Raw genomic sequence first — 18,197 nt, forward strand, 5'->3', positions numbered from 1 at the left:
AGGACCTTCCAGGGCATCTTAGCTGTGGTGTTAGGAGTTTAGAATGTATTCCAAGTACAATGGGAAGGCACTGGAGGGCTTTAAGCTAGAGAGTGACACAGCCCCATGATGTTTTATGAACATAACCATTGCCATCCCAATTTGTGGAACAATTAATTTATTCCCCTTTGACATAAGTCAATTTTCTGATCTGTTTTTGGTTAATTTGATGGCCTTACACATGTTAGTTTGACTTTTTGTTCATGGTATTGAATCTGTAATCCTTCTTGAGAGATGGGGCATACCTATGAACAAATGGCTGTCACCACTTGATCTCTCAGTGTTTTGGAGGGCAAGGGAAGCAGGACGGGGCTTCTGAGCCATAAAAATCCTAGGCCATGCAGTGTCCAGCAGCCTGAAGCTTGGAGACAGGTTTGTTTCAGGATCCCTAGTATCAGCAGACAGGGGTTTTATGGTATTGGCCAATCAACAAGTGTTTGAGTGCTGGCCCTTTGCCAAGCACTGTGCTGGATTCTACAGACTCAGTTCTGTCTGTCTGTCCCTTCCATCCCTGCTCCTTTACATGTGGTCATGCAAAGGCTTAATGATGTGATGTGCATCATAAAAACCCAAGGTCCACAGTGATGCCTATTCTGTCTCAGGGCTCCTGATTTCTCCACAATGTCCCTCTATGTAGAGGACTCACTTCTGATATGACTATTCTGGATCTGAATGTGAATAGCTGATATCTGCTCTGCACAAAACTGTCGCAGAATGGGCATGTAAATGACCAAATGAACTTTCTCAGTTTGGTGAGCACATCCACTAAGAGGGCCCATCTTGATCATCCAAAGAAACCATTTTGATTTTGAGGAATTTATAGTGCAAAATACAAGAGATTTATAAGACAAGGGTTCTTAACCTGGGAGCCAGATGTTCTTAGACAGTCCTGGGTTTTGGTGGAGGAAATGCCCCAACCCTCATGAATTTTATCTGAAATTGTGAGTGTATAGACTTTGGATTTTGCGGGGAGGAAGTCAGAGGTAGGAGAAGGTTTATAGCCACTGCCAAGTTCTCAGTGGATCCTTTGACTCTCCAAGGGTTATAAAAGTTGTAATTGTTATTATAGCTCTAGTGTTCCTGATTATGTTAGAAACTGTCAACCCCATTATCCTTGGATGGCTTGTCAAAACCCACCCCTGTGAAAAATCCCATTCTTCACCCACAGGAGTCAGCTTCCTCTTCAACCAAACTTCTGGGCAGGCTGAGGGAAGTATCTATGGATGGAAGACTTGGCTTTCCTTGGCTCCCTTTGTTTAGTTTCACTGCAGCAAGTTATCTGAAATGTGAGTGGGATGCAACTCTAACTGAATGGGATTTGGTGCTTCTGGCCTGTCCTTGCATCCATTGTCTCATTTGCTGTTGATCACCAATGTGAGGTGGGTGGGTGGAGGATCCCCATGTTGGGGGAGGTGCATGCACAGCTCAGTAGGTTTAAATACCTCTCTCAAGATCACCAAGCCAGTAAGTGTAGCATTGAACCCACCTGGAACAAATAATACTTGGTCGTTTTAAGAATACCTGGAATTTGTTTTAGTCAGGTATAATAAGGCACACAGACACAGAAATGATTGTCATGAAGGAAGAAGTATATTGTATCCATAGTTCCCTAGAAGCAGAAGGCATGCCATACCATGAAGGGACACACAGGGAAGTGCCAAGGCAAGATGAGTGGGCAGAGAGAGAGATCTAGAGGGCAGGAGCCTTTATTGTGTTTTCCATGGGAAGAAAGAGGGAAAGCAGGCCAACCAGGCTTAGCGTTGGACAGTCAATCATCTCAGTGGGCACTGGGGTAGAGGGGCTGCCCCGAGTTGTCTGATACCTGGTCCTGGGGTGATTAGGGCAGGTGGTATGACCTCGAGTGTGAGAGCCTGATGAAGGGAGGTGATTGGAGGCATGGGCTGTGGATTGGTTGGTTTGTGTATCAGAAATGCACTTGCAGGCCAGTTGCTTACTATCTCCAGGAATTAGCTAACCCTAGGAGGGGGAGTCCCTCCAAGGTCATAAGGCCTCAGACATCAGAGCAATAATACTACAGAAAAATCCAAAGACATGGTTAATACACTGGCCCTGTCCTCTGAATGAATTCAGTGGAGCTGGATAGTCTAATAAATTGCATCACACACCTTTAAGGATGTTTGCAGCTTGACTTCTTACTGCTCCATTGAGCTGTATGTAATCTCGTGTTCCATTGTACCAACCCCAGGTCGTAGTCTCTGGATGGCCAAGAAACACCTGTCTCCTTCACCTTAACAAAACACATGGCCATAGAACTGGACTTTTATCCCTTTGGCCAGAAGATTACAAAGAATAATTTTTTTTTCTGAATTGGAATTTTTTTTTCAATACCGCACTTGAGGTATCAGGCACTTGTGCTTGGGAAAAAGAGATTGTATAGACTCTTAGAGCGTCCCTAAGGTGACAGTCCATTTTTCATAATCATCTATGATATTCGTTTGTTGAAATTTTATTACTTTTGTAATTTAATTCAATTTATCCCATTTTATTGCTGTTCAGGGTAGCGTTACCATGGTTGCCTTTCTCTTCCTTCTGGATAAGGATGTTTCTTCTTTTATTATGAGCGTGATGGCTTATAGATTAAAGCAGCCTGCTCAATATAACTGTCTCCTTTGGAGTCAACCTTCTTTGAGCCCATCTCTACTCTTGTAGAATTTTCATGAAGATAAATATTGGCAGTGATTTATGAAGCATTTATGTGAGTAATCAGGTTCCAACCCTTATCTTCTGCTTAAAGATTAAGGATTTTATTCAGAAATGCTTCTCTGTACCAGAAATCATAGAAATGAGCAAATAACAATGAAAGTTGGTTAGTAATATCTTTTGTGAAGATATAGATTAAGAACATATTCATTAGCTGCAAATGGACTTTAAAACATAAAGATGTCAGGAGACCCCTTTCTAAAGCTGAAGTCATTCATCATTTTGAGAAATCCTGGAAATATTTTAGGGAATAACTGAGTTGGGCAGTGAGTCCAAAAGGACATGAGCAGGTGAGAAGACAGGAAGATGTCAGGAAGGCATGCCTAATACGGAGGCTGCCACTTAGCTAAATTAAAATTTAGAACCCATGAATGTGGGCACCGATAGGTCATGAAGAGATTTGGTAGCAAATGACACTGACATAAATAATTCATATAACTTGCTTGCTTTTAAAGGTAGAAGGAATGGATTTGTAGTTAAATGTTTTTTAAAATAAAAGATTACCTTCTTTTTTCTATAAAAATATAGACTGTTTTTTGAGGCTCATAAGTGCTTGGTCTCCAAACCTTCCTTTCCTCTGCATCTGGGAGCAAGAGTGGAATTATTATAATTCCAAAGATTGTGAAGACCCAGCTCAGCAGCTACAGACAGCTGGGTACAGATCTGCCCTTTCTTGGGGAAAGAGGAAAGTATAGTTAGCTAATCCTGCTTGCCAAGTCTGGCTGATGTCTCATGATCCTGCCTTCTTCGGTTGACACAAGCTTTTTAAAAAATGTCATTTTGATCCAGCTTCTCTATTTTTTTAACCACCCACTGGATTGTAAACTCCTTAAAGTTTTGCCTCAATCTTTAGTAAATTGTAGGAATAGCTTTCCTGGAAATGGCTCCAGTGATTTCTTAATGTTTGGTCTCACTTAGACCTCATCTGCTTGGTGGCATTTTTTAAAGTGTTGGCCACAGCCTACCTGGGTCAGACCCCACGGACATTTTTTAAAATGTATATCCCTGGGCCTACTTTATTCTGAACCTCGGGAGGGTGGGTGCTATGACTCCACCTTCAACATGTGATTCAAGGCTCCTGGTGATACTGATGCCTTGTGAAGTTTGAGGACTCTCACTGCCCTGGCCAGAGCCACAGTCATCTCTCACCTGGAACATTGTAGTGGCCTCCTACTTACTACCTCTGTTTCTACCCTTACTCTCTATGGCTGTGGATGGGACATGGGCATTCAGAATTATAAGATTATCATAGGATAATGGAATGGACAGCCAGGTTGAGTGCACTGTTCATGGCCTATGCTCTATCCTGCAGCCAGAATGATCCTTTTACATTATGTATCAGCTCATGTCAGACTTCTACTCAATCTCTCCTGAAAAAAAAGGAAAAGTGGCTTGCAGGGATCCACATGATGTGGCACCCATTGTATCTCCAAGTTAATTTCCTGCAACCTCTGCTAGGTGACTGCATTCCATTAACACGAGCCCCTTCAATATCCCTGGAGCTTCCCTGTCGCAGGGACCTTGTACCTTTGGTTCCCTTCACCTGGAATGCTCTTTCCCATTAGCTATATGGCTTGTTCCTTCTCCCCCACTCCATTTTGTCTAGATCTTTGATCATATGCCATCTTATCAGGAAGACCTTCCCATCTTCCTTTTCTAAAAATGCAGCCCCCATCACTCTCCATCACCTTACTTTGCATTATTTTCTTTATCAGCATTTAATTCAACAAATACATAAACATTCTCTATGAATTTGCCATTTATTATGTTTCCCTCCCAAGAAAATGTGAAGTCCCTGAGGGCAGAATTTGTTTTGTTTACCCATGGTAGCCCTGGCACCAAGAATGGTCCCTGGCACATAGTAGTCACTCATGAGTTACACGTGATAGATGACAAACTACTCCTCTTGGATTCTCTCAGAAACACAAGCTTTCTTCATTATTGAAGGGAGATGTGCAGGCAGCAGCAGCCTATTTTCTGTCTGTGCAATTGCCCCATATAACTCTCCTGGTAGCCACTTCCTTCCCCTAATTTTAATGGCTGCAGAAAGGAGAAAATTTGATTCATTATCTTTACAGACTATCTATCTTCACCAAAGGTTAAAAAGAAGGGTACCCCTCTCAGTTTCTGATAGGGATTGCTTCTATGTGAGTAAAAAGCATAATCGGTTTTTTGAAAAAATCTGGATGAGTTTTTTGTTTGTTCCATTGGGGAAGTTTTATACTAAGTAGATTAAGGTAAGTGACTTTGAACTTTCAAAGTCTACATCTTAACATTTTATTAAGCTTAATTGGGTTTGTAGAACATTTAAAGACCATCCAAACTTAAGTGGGAGATCAAAATGAGCGAAGAGGCTGATGCAGACTTTTTTTTTTTTCACCCCTGCCTTTGAGCTGCATTAATGAAAGTGGTGCGCTCCATGCCTGCAGATGATGAGCATGAAAGCCTGGCTTTCCGGGGAGCTCTGGTGTATTCCAGAACTATGTCACAGCACCTTCCCATGGTTGTCTGTGCCGTGCACCTGGCCTTCAGGACCACCCCAGATTTGGCTCTGCTTCACACTCCTTGCATCTGAAAAGTAGCTGGGCTCAAGGCAGACCACTGAAAGTTTGTTACGTGGTGCTTCCTAGGGAAGAAACTCCAGTTGTTGGAAATAAAATCCATTAGGGTACAGAATCTGTTAATGATGGAAATTAGGAGCAATTTGACTGTTGTTCACAGAGGTTTTGCTCTCAGTTAAATGAGCAGTAGCGTAAGGCAGTACTAACTGGAATATGCAAGGCCAGGACTTAATTTCCACATGTCATCTCTTTTTTGTGTTTGATTTTCACTGAAACATTTATTCTTCCTATGTTGTAACAGAATTGTTCAGGAAGTAGCAATGTCATTACTTTCTTTTCACTTAAAATGATCTTTAATTATTAAAGCAATGCTAGTTTGTAAAATGGTATAAAATTTATGAAGTAAAAAGTATGAGGCCACTTTTAGAAAAAAATAGAATTTTGTGCTACACAAAACCCACAACTTGCTTTTTACCTTTACCAGTACATCATGGATGAGGACATAGCTGCTGGGTAGCCCACTACACGAATGTACCATGAACTTGTAGCCAGTCAGCTATCAATAAAGACTTAGAATTTAACAGTTTTTGACCTTTACAAGTAATGAAGGTGAACATCCTTGTACTTTTAATTGTGTATTTTTGAAAATGTCTAAATCTGAATTCTAGGGCTTCCAGAAAATATGTACTCTCTTCTACCACTTCTGTCCTTTTTGTTACCTCTTAGTCCCCATAAGCATTTTATTTGTTATTCCAGCTATAAGATAAATGCCTGAGGGTGGAATTACTGTGTGAAAAAAAAACCTGCAAATATAAAATGCTATTATTAAATTTCTCTCCAAAATATTTCCTACTTTAAAGTAAAATCTCTTTTCTTCTGTGGTCAGTTGAAAGGCATTACTGTGAGAGATGTAGGACGTGAACCCAGCATCCTTTGATTATGTTTATTTTGTAGGCAGACATGCAACAAGTCATTTTCATGCCATTTCTGCTCAGATAAGGAGGTCAGTGTACTGGGAGCCAAGGACTACAAATCAGTGGAAATATTGAACATTATTCTGATTTTCTTTCATAAGCAATAAAATAACATACAAACCAATGAAACAAATATAATACCCATAAACCCCTCAGTACATTACCTGACCCAGGGGATGGTGCTGATTGTAGCAGCCACAGTGGTGGTGGTGGTCGTGGTAGGACTGTGCTGGTGAGGTAGGGGACATGGTGATGGTTTTCATTATTATGGTTATTGTTAGCATAATTATTCTGAAGCAGCCATGTCTGATCTGAAGTTTGGCACAATTCTACTGGTTTTCCAAATAGGTTGCCATCTTTTAAATTAGGAGTTGTAGAAGTTTTGCTGGTGATTCACAGTATTGTTCTGGAGTTTTAACTATGTCTCCAAGAGAACTCAGTTTATATGAAGGCTCTTCGTCTAGACAGCAGAGGAGGCTGGCACTCACAGCCACTTTTGCTCAAAAATATGGGTTGTTTTGTGTTGGGTCTTTGCTTATGAAGATAGACTCATAGCTTCATTTCCTCAGAGGCATCTCTTAGGCTTCTTGCTTGCCAAGGAGCCAGTGGGGATACAAGTTTTTGTCGGTCTAGTGTTTCCCCTTTAAAGAGCTTAAATTTGAAATTAAAGACAAAGATTTATGAGAAAGCATGGGTCTGGTCTCAAGAGACTTGATTCCAGTTCATCCTGGATTCTGTGGGTGCTGGCTCTGGGCCTTGGAGCTGGTTGGGATCTTCTGTATTGACCAAACCAGCATCTCCCAAAGGTTGAAAGCAGATACCAGTGCTATCCTGAGGTCTTAGAAGTCTTCTCTCATGAGCTGCAACTTTGATGAAATGAAGCAAAACACTTAACTGGGCCTCAGTTTCTCCCCTCAATCAGAGATTCTCAGTTAAGTGCCGACAGTGGACAGGCAGAGAAAGTGAACGGGGGTGCAGCTATATGAAGGAGGGTCAGTGGTAATCACTTTTGGCAATATGAGGCTGGATCTTTGCTTTTTTTTTTTTTGACATAGGCCCTCACTCTATCACCAGGCTGGAGTGCAGTGGCGCAAACTCGGCTCACTGCAACCTCCGCCTCCCAGGTTCAAGCAATTCTCCTGCCTCAGCCTCCCGAGTAGCTGGGACTACAGATGCATGCCACCATGCACAGCTAATTTTTTTGTATTTTTAGTAGAGATGGGGTTTCACCATGTTGGCCAGGATGGTCTCGATCTCCTGACCTCGTGATCTGCCCACCTCGGCCTCCCAAAGTACTGGGAGTACAGGTGTGAGCCACTGCGCTCAGCTGGATCTTTGCTTTCTTTTCCCCCCAAGAGAAGCCAGAATCTCCCAATTTAAAAAACAAAACAAAACAAAAACCGTATCCTCACTCCCAAATGTGACTCTGATGGGAATGGTGTGGAGAAGAGCCAGAGGACTGGAGAGAGGTCTGTCTGCCTGCCCATCCACCCCAGAAATCCCCTTGCAGGAGCTGTGATAAATAAAGTAATGGCCTTACCAAGCACAGATGAGCACAGACTGACATTCCATAATAATAACGTGCATTTACATATCCCTTTAAATTAGGAAGAAACCATTACCTCACAACTAGCCTTCAAGTTATAATGCCCAGATTAGAGGATATGCATAATTAAAACAGAATATTCATTTTTATAATCCACTGTAAGCGTTTTTTGTGTTTTTTTTAATCTCTTCATGTATTGAGTATCAATGTTCCAAGTGCATTGCTCCATCAGGGCCCAGCCAGGTAAAGGAGACACATCCCTTCCTTCCCTAGTCAACTGGATACTCTAGTGGAGCAGATCGACTTCACAGACCAGCTACACAAAATGCTAGCTAACCACAATTGTAGCAAAGGCTGGGGAGGAGCAATAGGAGCACTTGACCCATCAGACTAGAGGAGCTGGAAGGACATCACCTGGTAAAGCCTTTGATACCACCTGCTGAGTGTCATTCATCTAATGCCATGTCTTCACTGACCTCAGTCACAAAGAGGTGGCCACAGGCTGCACATGGCCCATCCGAAGGGTTTTGTTTGGACTGTGTGGCATTGACCCACATACCATTTTAAATTGAATTAAAGGATTTTAACCTTTTCATTCCTTATCTTTCTTCCATTTAACCTTAAGTACCATCTGGCAGGTAGGTCATGCTTTGTTTCAAAGAGTTCTGACCTCATAAGAGAGGGTTGAGAAACCAGTAGAAAATAAGAAAGCCAGGTTTTTACATTTGTTTTTTGCTCTTCAGGAACCAAAAGCTTAGGAAGACTAGAAAGAGTCTCCATAGATCTCCTGGCCACAGGCTGTGTCTCTCATCCCAGTTAATTATCTTCTAATATCATGCCAGACACCACAGATGGTAAGAGAGTGTCTGCAGCCTGTCCTCACCATTGGAGGGAAATGTCGAGGGTCTTTCAGGGGCATTTTTATTCCCAAGAAGAGCACACTCTGCATTTCCTGTGTGAATGGGGAAAATGCTTGGGGATTTGGTCCAGACTTAGATGATCCTTGTCCATATGTGTGGAGCAAGCCCAGGCCTGTGAGGCTGCCAGTCTCCCATTCCCAGTTATTCTCTTCTGTTTTGACTTGCGCACCAAAAAACAACCACCACCAGTGCCATATGGTTTAAAAGATCAAAGGCCCCAATTTTGAGTACATTTCTAGCTGACTATACTTCAGATGTCTTAAATATGTTCCTGCAGATGGGAAGCATGGAGCATTAAAGAGGTAAGCCACATGTGTGTGAGCCATGCATGTGATCTGTGCAGGATGGCGAAAAGTGAATGCCGCTCAGCCATGCGTTTGTCTTCCCTTCAGGTTCGCATCTTCACATACCTCATTGGACGAGAGGCTGCGTTTGCAGACAATCTAAAGTGGATGGCCTGTGCCAACAAAGGTGGGTCTTCGCATTGTGCTCGGCTCTGAATAACTTCCACCTACTTGTGCAGAATTAGGAATATTCATGAGAAAGTAGAGAGTTCTAATAATTCTAAGATAAAGTCTGGGTATATCTAAGTGATTACTGATAGACTTGTAACGGTTTCTTCCAAATTATGTTTTTTTTTTTTCTGTTCTTTTTTTTTTTATTTTTTTTTTGTGGACAGAATCTTGCTCTGTTGCCCAGGCTGGAGTGCAGTAACGCGATCTCAGCTCACTGCAGACCACGCCTCCCGAGTTCAAGCAGTTCTTGTGCCTCAGCCTCCCGAGTAGCTGAGATTACAGGTGTGCACCACAATACCCAGCTAATTTTTGTATTTTTAGTAGAGACGGGGTTTCGCCATGTTGGCCAGGCTGGTCTAGAACTCCTGAGCTCAAGTGATCTGCCCACCTTGGCCTCCCAAAGTGGCCTCATTACAGGCATGAGCCACTATGCCCAGTGCCAAATTTTGAGGACATAGTCAAGTGGAGTGGTTAAGCCTTTCCACTCTTCTGCTTAGTAGCTGAGTAGCCTTGGGAGAATTGCTATGGCAGAGACATTTACTGTGCATCAAATATCCGTATGCTCTCTCATCATTCCTAGCCTTCTTGCCTATAGGTGGGGCTTCAAGACTGGTTCTGGCCAATAGGGCGGGAGTGAAATCAACCTGAGTCATTTCTGGGCTAAAGCATTTGAGAGCTAGTGTGGTGGTGTTGGTACTCTCTTCTGCTCTTGTGAACTCTGAAGGTACATGGTCCAGACAGAACAGTCACGAGATGCAGCAGCCTTCATCAGCCTGGGTCCCTGAGTGAGCACATGGAGCAGATGACTTTCACTGCCCCTTGCATCTGCCAACCCACACTGGATTATAAATAGTGTTCATGACAAATAAACTTTTATGTTAAGCCACTGAGATTTTTAGTTTGATATGTTCTTATAGCATAACTTTACGTACATTACTAATTAAGTTGGTCAACTTTAACTTGCCTCAATGTTCTAATACTCAAAATGGTAATGGTAATAATAATTCTTCCTTTAATTTTTTAACTATCAAATAAAATTATGTATATTTATGGTGTAGAACATGATGTTTTGAAGTATGTGTACATTGTGTAAATGACTACATCAAGGTAATTAACATATGTATTGCCTTACATCTTTATTATTTATTTGTGATGAGAATACCTAAAATCTATTCTTTTAGCAATTTTCAAGTATATAACACATTGTTATTAACTATAGTCACCATGTTATACTATATATCTCTTGAACTCATTTCTTCTGTCTAACTGAAAGTTTGTATCCAGTTCTTCCTTTAATTCTTATTAACGAAATGGTGCATATTAAGTGCCTCGTTCAATACTAGGACATAATAAGTGCTCAATAATCCTTAGCTTTTTTATATTCATAAGGTTAATTGATTACCAATTCCCTGTTGCATGTCAGAAACAAATAGTTTGGGGACAGCACTGGGAAGGAAGTAATAGGGCTGCCCAGTCTGTGAAGGCCTTCTTTTCATTTTACACATGGCCAAGAAGGCAAAGCATAGCAAGTTAATAGGGAGGAGAGTCCAGACTCCTTGTATCCAAGTCGTATCCAAGTCGAGCAGTCACTATCCACCAACTATGTGCAAGTTACCAAACCTATCTGGGTAGATCTGAGTCACGTCATCTACAGAGCAGAGGTAGTGACAATACCTTCCCCTCACACATGTTGTGGGCATGACATGATGCCATATAAATAAAGTTGGTAGCTTGGCTCTGGTATGTAAGTGCCCTGAGTTATTCTCTTGTGTTATGTTGATCTCTGGGTCCTGTTGGCCTCCCTTCTGAGGCTACAAGCTCCATGAGAGCAGCCTTTGACTCTTATTTCATCTTGGGTGCTCTGACACAGCCCAGCCTCGTACCAGAGTGGGTGCTCCTTTGATGTTTGAAAAAATAGGTAAGTTGACTCTAAGTACTAATAAAGGAAGGTAGGTCCTGTTGCATAGTAGATTGGTTCAGTGGTCTGCTTTAAATGGGTCTCCTAAGCCATCCTTCATAAAAGTTCCAGTGTTTGGACTTCAGTGGAGAAAAGAGGACTCAGTGAAGGGTTTGTGGGTCTTAGCTCCAGTTTTGATGGCCTAAGACAAAGTTGTTTTAGGTGCAAGCCACCAAAGTTGTTCCCTGAAATTAAAAAAGGGGGCATTTTGGAGAGAGGGGGGTGACTGAGAACTCTGGTAGGAAGGGAAGCTTGGGTCTCACAAGGGAGAAGGAAGACGTGTTTGTGTTTTTCTGTTCCTTCTCAGTTTCTTCTGACATGTCCATGGCATTCTTCTTCCTTGTAGATAGACCTTCCGTACTATGGCATGCATACAGCCAGGAATGGCCACCCCATACCATGCATGCCCATCCATCCACGCAACAATACTGTGGGCAAGGCACAATATCGGAAAGGAGTATTTATATCTTTTCCGTTTGAGGCTGACTAGCAAATCTAAATTCTGATTTCACGTCCTTCTCCTCACCCCTTTGAAGAGATTATGGTACCCAGCTTGGGCCAGTTCTTCCTCCCTGCTGAATTGGGGGTGGGCAGAGGAAGCCCATGGGGAAATAAATGCTTCTGTGGGGGGGCTCAGCATTGTGGATGGGAGTGTGGGAAAGTTCTCCAAGAATAGGTGAACAGCCAGGCTCTTAAACCTGCACCCATCTTTCCCTTTGCTTGGCATTTTCTTTAATTATCTGCTTCTATTTGAACAGTCTTTTAAGCAAGGCTCAATTTCCTCATCTACAAAAGGAAGGGCTGCATGGAAGTTTTTAACATATCCTTGAAGCTCTAAAATAACACCTTCTGCAATTGTGTTTCGTTCATTGTCTGGCTTGCTTCACTAAAAGGTATCAATAATTCTGCTTGTCTCAGAGTTACACATTTGGCCTCATTTCAGGGAGAACTATAGGAAGAACACAGGCAGAGGAGAGGGAGGCCGAGTAGATCCCAGATTTCCTCTGAGTGAAGAGGCCTTTCTTGAAATTAGTTTTGGAACTTTGTTGACATTTAAAAACCTTGAGTTAGCTATACTTTTCCCATTTTTTCCTTTATTCTGTGGTCTTGAAAAAAAGAGTTCCTTTCCATTTTTTAATTTTTTTTAAAAAAATTTGCTGTTATTTCTTGCCACATCAGATTGCAATTCTTCCATCAGCTAGTATGCATTTAGTCATGGGTTATTGTTTTTACCACTGTCTGTGTCCAGCTGATGAAAATTACTGAAATTGAAGTCTTGTCTTAATCAACTAATATTACACCATAATTTAGTTTTAGTCATTGTTTATAAGAATCTTTGAGGCATCCTTTTGAAGACAGTTTAGTCAACTCAGAGTATTTTAGGGCCTGGCTATAGAATATAGCCTTTAGGATTTATAAGTTCTGAGTACAGCAGTGCAGAAAATCCAGGGAGGTAATAGTAGCTGCTTGGCTGGACAGGCTGTGGATTCCATAATAATTCTCCTTCCCTTCCTGTCTACATCCAGTTATTTCCCTTCCTACCAGAGTCAGCCCTTCTTGATCGTTTCATCTTCCTCATTCTGCTTCTATGTAAAGAGCCTTGGGAATGTCACTGTTTGCCACTCTTCAAAGTAGCAATGCCATCAAAATGTGATATTCCAGTCATCTGTGCCCATATAAACATTGGCTTCACGTTGCGTCAGTTAAGGGGTTTTGGACCATGTAACATCGGTGAGCAAGTATTCTTCTATGGTCATTAATTAAATCATTGTTTATAGTCTCAGATTGTTATAGTATGGAGGCAGCATAACATTTTTCATCTCAAGTGTCATGAGGTCCAGAGGGCCCCCTTACATATTTTCACCCTGACTCAGCCAAGTTCTGCAGTGAAATGAAGCATTAGCATTCAGGGACCAGAGCAGACCCAAGGAGCGTCGAAGGAGGCAGAACTAACGCACTGGGCCTGACCACAGAATGACCCTGGGAGGGAGCAAGAATCATGAGGGCTCTCACGTTGTCCCTGAGTTAGTGGTCAAGGACCTGCTATCAGTGCAGGACTTCTTCCTTGGGAGTCTGGTAGCCATGGAGACAGTTCTTAGCTAGCAGATCTCAGACACTTTCCTCTGGAAATGAATGTCTGGGGACATTCGTACCCCTTGCAATAGTTCTCTGCCTCCTCCAGTCTACCAGCAAAATCCAGGGAGGCCTGGAGCTTGTGAGTTTATTTCATTTTATGCATAAGTAGGTCCTGTCTTGAGGGAACCAACCCTAATGAGACAAAGCAGCAAGCCATTTTACATACATTAAAACAATCATTACCACTGTAGAATGGCTGGTGGAATTTAAAGTTATGCGTTCACACTATTTCAAAAATAAGCGAACTGGAAAACAGAAAAGAGGGCCGACTACCGACTAGCCCAGACATTTCACAAAGCCATGGTGACCTTCTCTAACATTCAGTATGCCAAGATTTTAAATAAGCACTGGCTGATTCTCCTTCAGAAATCACAGTTAATGGAGTGTTTTCCAGCTGTGCAAATAAAGAAGGGCCTCCATGTTTGGGTTCTCAACCGATCAGTCATCGTCAGGTCCAATGGAAATGCCACATGTGTTGTCGTCTGCTTAGCTTACCCCTTTTCCATGGGCTAAAGGTCATTCTCTCCTTATCTGAAAGAGAACTGGTGGCCTGAGACTTCCTGGAAGGTCCAGCTCCTAATCTTTTTTCAATAAAAAGATTCTTAACCTCATTATATCTTTCCACATGTAGTGTCCCCCAAAAGATAGCTTCACATTTATGAGGCCGGAATGGTCATAGGCGACAGCAGGAGAAAAGTGGCAATTAAAACATTTTGCTATTTTAAGAGAGGTGAAGGAAGGCACAAACAGCAGCTATTTAAATACCTTTTTGTAGTTCATTGCACACATTCCTTAGAATCAGAGATTTTGAGTGGGAATGAAGATGGTGATGCTTGCTGTTACCGTAAAACAGCAACTAAGGATGACAAGCTGCTCACTAAGTGCCAGGCATAGAACAGAGTACATCTGTGCATTACCTCTTTTGATCCTCCCAAAGGCTCTATGAGGTACTGTTATCATTATTTTTGTTTACAGAGAAGGAAACTGAGGCTGAGCAAGACTAGCACCTTGTTCCAGATTACCAGCCAGCAGGCGGTAGAGCTAGGATTTAGGCCCAGGTGATCCAAAGCCCCAGCCTGAACTCTTCATCAGATGTAAGGCTGCTTCTCTTTGGAGAGGAGAAAGCTGTGATTCATAGAGAACTCTTACATATCTCTCTTCATTTGAGGTAATCTAGGAAAAGAAAACTAGAGAGTGAGAAAGGATTTCAATGTGCCATAATTAACAAAGGCCAGAGCTGGGATTTATGCCCAGCCTGTATGTTCTGGAAATGGCACTGCTTCAGCTTGCACAGTGGTATGGTTCAGGTCCTGATGTTTCAGAGTTGGGGACATTAAGGCTGTAGATAAGACGAGACCAGGAGAAACCACAGCAAGGTGTGATGGGTGTAGCCACAGAGCTATAAGAAGGAGACAGCATTCCTATTTCCCCAGTGTGTACCTTTAGATTGTTTTCTTCTTTTTCTTGTATTTTTAACATGGAGTTAGAAATTAAAATGTAGTCATAGTCACAAAGGAAAAGATGTGTCCCTTGATCTGAGGCTCAAGCTGATTTTGAGAGCTCTGCTCAGGAGTGCGGTTCTCCCACCAAGACCATTGGGCTCCCTGCCCTCAATGTCCATTCTCTCCAACACCATGAATATGGGTTCTTCTGCTCTCAGCACTCAACAGACCTCTTGCTTGTTTTTTGTGAAGTCAGAGAAGACAGGGAGGTAGGAAGCTGTTTATAAATTGTACCTTTTTCTATAGAAATAAGTGTTTTTTTCAGTAGTGTGTGATCTTGACAGGGAGGAGGAGGAAGATGACACAGAACACAGTATTGGGAGCGTCTTCCAAGAACACCATTGCTCATAGGGAATGCAAACCAGGGAAGCCACAGCATCACCTTCACTGCCCTGCTAAATCTCATTCTTACCTCGGCACCCTCTGGAGACTGATATTTTGGTGCTGGCTCTCAGGTTTTCTGCCTGCCTTGCTTAAGGTGGGAAGAGTCTTTGGAAAGACTCAACAACTCAAAGGAATCAAAGGAAGCTACACCCGTCACTCCAAAGATGGAAGGAGGACCTCACTATTTGAGGTAGACAGCTAGGATCTGCCCACTGAGGACAGACTCCTGGTACCCTTGGATCTGGTCATTGCAAAGTGGAGTATTTAATGATTCACCACAGGAGCTTCTCATGCTCAGGCAGCTTTGAGGCAAAAGACTCTAAAAATCCCCAAGTAAGGGTAATATCTCAGAAACACAAAGCACTGCGTTGCATATGGTTTATCACATGCAGTATTTGTAACCCAGAGTTCACAGAAGGAGCTCTGCAAGGGAATAAGGTAAATAAATTGATGTTATAGAGAAAAACGAGCAGACCATTTGTAATAGGTGGCTAACTTCAGCATTAATTGCTCCTTGGTAATTACCGAATCATTGCTGATTCTGTTTTCTTACATGATATATGAGGTCCAAAAAAGCACATTAAAAAAGAGAATAAACATTCAAGACCTAGAATTTAACAGGAAAAAAACAGAGAGAAAGGGGAGGGAAAGTGGCCAGCTGAGAGAATACAGAGGGAAAACAAGGGAAGTGTCTATGGTTACAGCCAGATTCTAGCCCTTAGTGATTTCCTATTATCCATCATTTGTTAACTAAAACTTATACTAAGACATTTAAAAACCAAAAAAAAAAAAAAGGCTCAGAAAGATTTTAAACTTTAATGAGTTGGAATCAAATGTGCATAAGCTTTGCAGCATACATTGTTATTGTCAATATTATTTTTAAAATTTTATCTTTTCTTACCTTTTTATACATCTGCATCCCTGGTCTACATAGTGAAATATAAGTTGGAACTATAGACTGGGGTTTGAGTAGATCTTTGTTGTTGCTCATTGCTCAAAGGACAGTCATATATTGCCCCATCCCCATCCTCAGAGTTCCCCAGCTACAATACGCAAATAGCCCATTAGAGTTACCCTCCTGGGGGAGGAGCTCTGAGCTGCTCTCCTGTCCCTTCCCAGCAGCGAAAGAGGCAGTGTCTTCAGTGGTTCAGAGCAAAGGCTTTGGAATCAAATGAACCTGGATTCGAATTCATCCAGGACAAATTACTGACTCAGAGTTTGTGTTTCTTCCCCTACACGGTGAGCACATGCTTTGGGCCATTGTGAGGCCCACATGCAGAAAGGCAAGGTGGATCTCAGTAAGACCTCAGTGAATGTTCCCACCTTACTAATGGCTCCTGCATACCTTCCCTCCCTGTTCTTGGAATATTGCTCCCAACAAGGTGGGGATTTTTGAATCATTTCGTGGAGCTAATATTCCAGTTAGAGAGAACACAATAAGCAAGTGAGAATCCAATGATGGATGAGTCCTCTGAAGGGACTGATGCAGGGTGAAGGGAGAGGAAGTGACTTCAGACAGGAATGTCAGGGAGGGCCTCTCTGATCTGAGCTGAGCCCTGAGTGACAAAAAGGAACCAAACATGGAAAATGGGATAAAGGGTGTCCCAGGCAGAGGGCAGCAAGTGCACAGGCCCTGAGGAGGGGAACGCAGTTGGCATGTGAGAGGCGGGGAAAGAAGGCCAGCAAGCCTGAACAGTGAGCAAGAGGGAGATGGCAGGGATGAGGTCACCCAGGTAGGTGGAGCCAATTCAGGGAGGGTCTTGGAGGTCAGGGTAAGACATCTGGATTTTATTTTAACTCTAAATATAAGCTATTGTAGGATTTCAACCAGGAAGATGATGATTTGCTGTGACCTCTTAGACAATCTCTGATGGCTGTGAGGAGCCTAGACAAGGGGGAGAGGGATTTGTGGGGAGACTCTTGTGGACTCTGGGTGAGAGATGATGGCATCTTGGAGTAGTGAAGCAGTGGAGATTGGGAAGTGAATTTAGATAGATTTTAGAGATAGGACCAGAAGAACATGCTGGTGTATTACATATGGGGTGGGGTGAGGAAAGGAGGGATATGGAGGATAATTATGTTTTGGCCTCTCTGGGAAGTGGTGCCATTTTCTGAGATGAGAATGACCAACTGGGAGAGGAATGGATTTGGGAAGTGAAGTCGGGAGTTGGCTTTGGATGCATTCGGCCTGAGAATCCTGCTAGTTATCCCTGTGGAGGTGTCGGGTATACAGTTGGCCGTGGGTCTGTCGCTCTGGAGAGAAGTCAGCTTTCTGTAATCTTTCAGAACCTTGGCTATGATAAGCAAGGACAAGTGGGGATGATTTCTCAGCTCTGTCCTTTTCCAAATGTATGATTGTTTTCCCCCAACTCCCTCTCTATCCTAATAACCTGTCCCTCCCACCCTCCTCCTTAAATTCATCTTTCTTCCCTTGGCACTGTTTTTGGAAAATCCAAATCAGAGAGCTTTACTGCTGGCTTTGAGGATTAGATGTGAATACAGGCAACCAAGAAGAACTCCTACAAGATCCTGTCTGGGCCCAAGAGCACAGGCACCTAAACAGAATTGTTTGACACTGCAAAGCACTCATCCCTGTATCCTTAAGGTCTGGAGCTATTGAGTTGTGTCTCCCTACTTTACCATGGTAGCACCCCTCTTAGCTTGTCCTCTGTGTCAAGACCCCTTAACGCAGAGCCCAAGATTTGCCTACTAAAGAAGAGATGAAATATTTTCTTTCTTATCAAACGCTGATTGCAGCCTCCATGCTTGGAGAGATGATAACTGTGTATGTGGCATGTTCCCTATCCTCTGGCAATCCTTTTTAAAACCTGTCCTTTCCGACCATGCCTCTAAGAGGAACCATCTAGGAGCATTGCTAGAGCAGCATTCCAAATGGGTCTCCCTAACTATGGTGCCTGATGGCTGAGAGAGGTGAACATAGG

At 42.6% G+C, this 18,197-nt stretch overlaps 1 protein-coding gene across 1 annotated transcript in view; it reads left to right on the plus strand.

Moving 5' to 3' along the window:
- Positions 1–18,197, plus strand: part of CACNA2D3 (calcium voltage-gated channel auxiliary subunit alpha2delta 3) — a 952,006-nt gene that overhangs the window by 620,894 nt on the left and 312,915 nt on the right. Inside the window, exon 12 of the mRNA NM_018398.3 lies at positions 9,154–9,232. Within this exon, the coding sequence (NP_060868.2) occupies positions 9,154–9,232 (79 nt within the window). The remainder of the gene's footprint in view (positions 1–9,153; positions 9,233–18,197) is intronic.

The sequence above is a fragment of the Homo sapiens genome, chromosome 3, assembly GCF_000001405.40.
Source record: "Homo sapiens chromosome 3, GRCh38.p14 Primary Assembly".
In the NCBI taxonomy this organism is placed as follows: domain Eukaryota; kingdom Metazoa; phylum Chordata; class Mammalia; order Primates; family Hominidae; genus Homo; species Homo sapiens.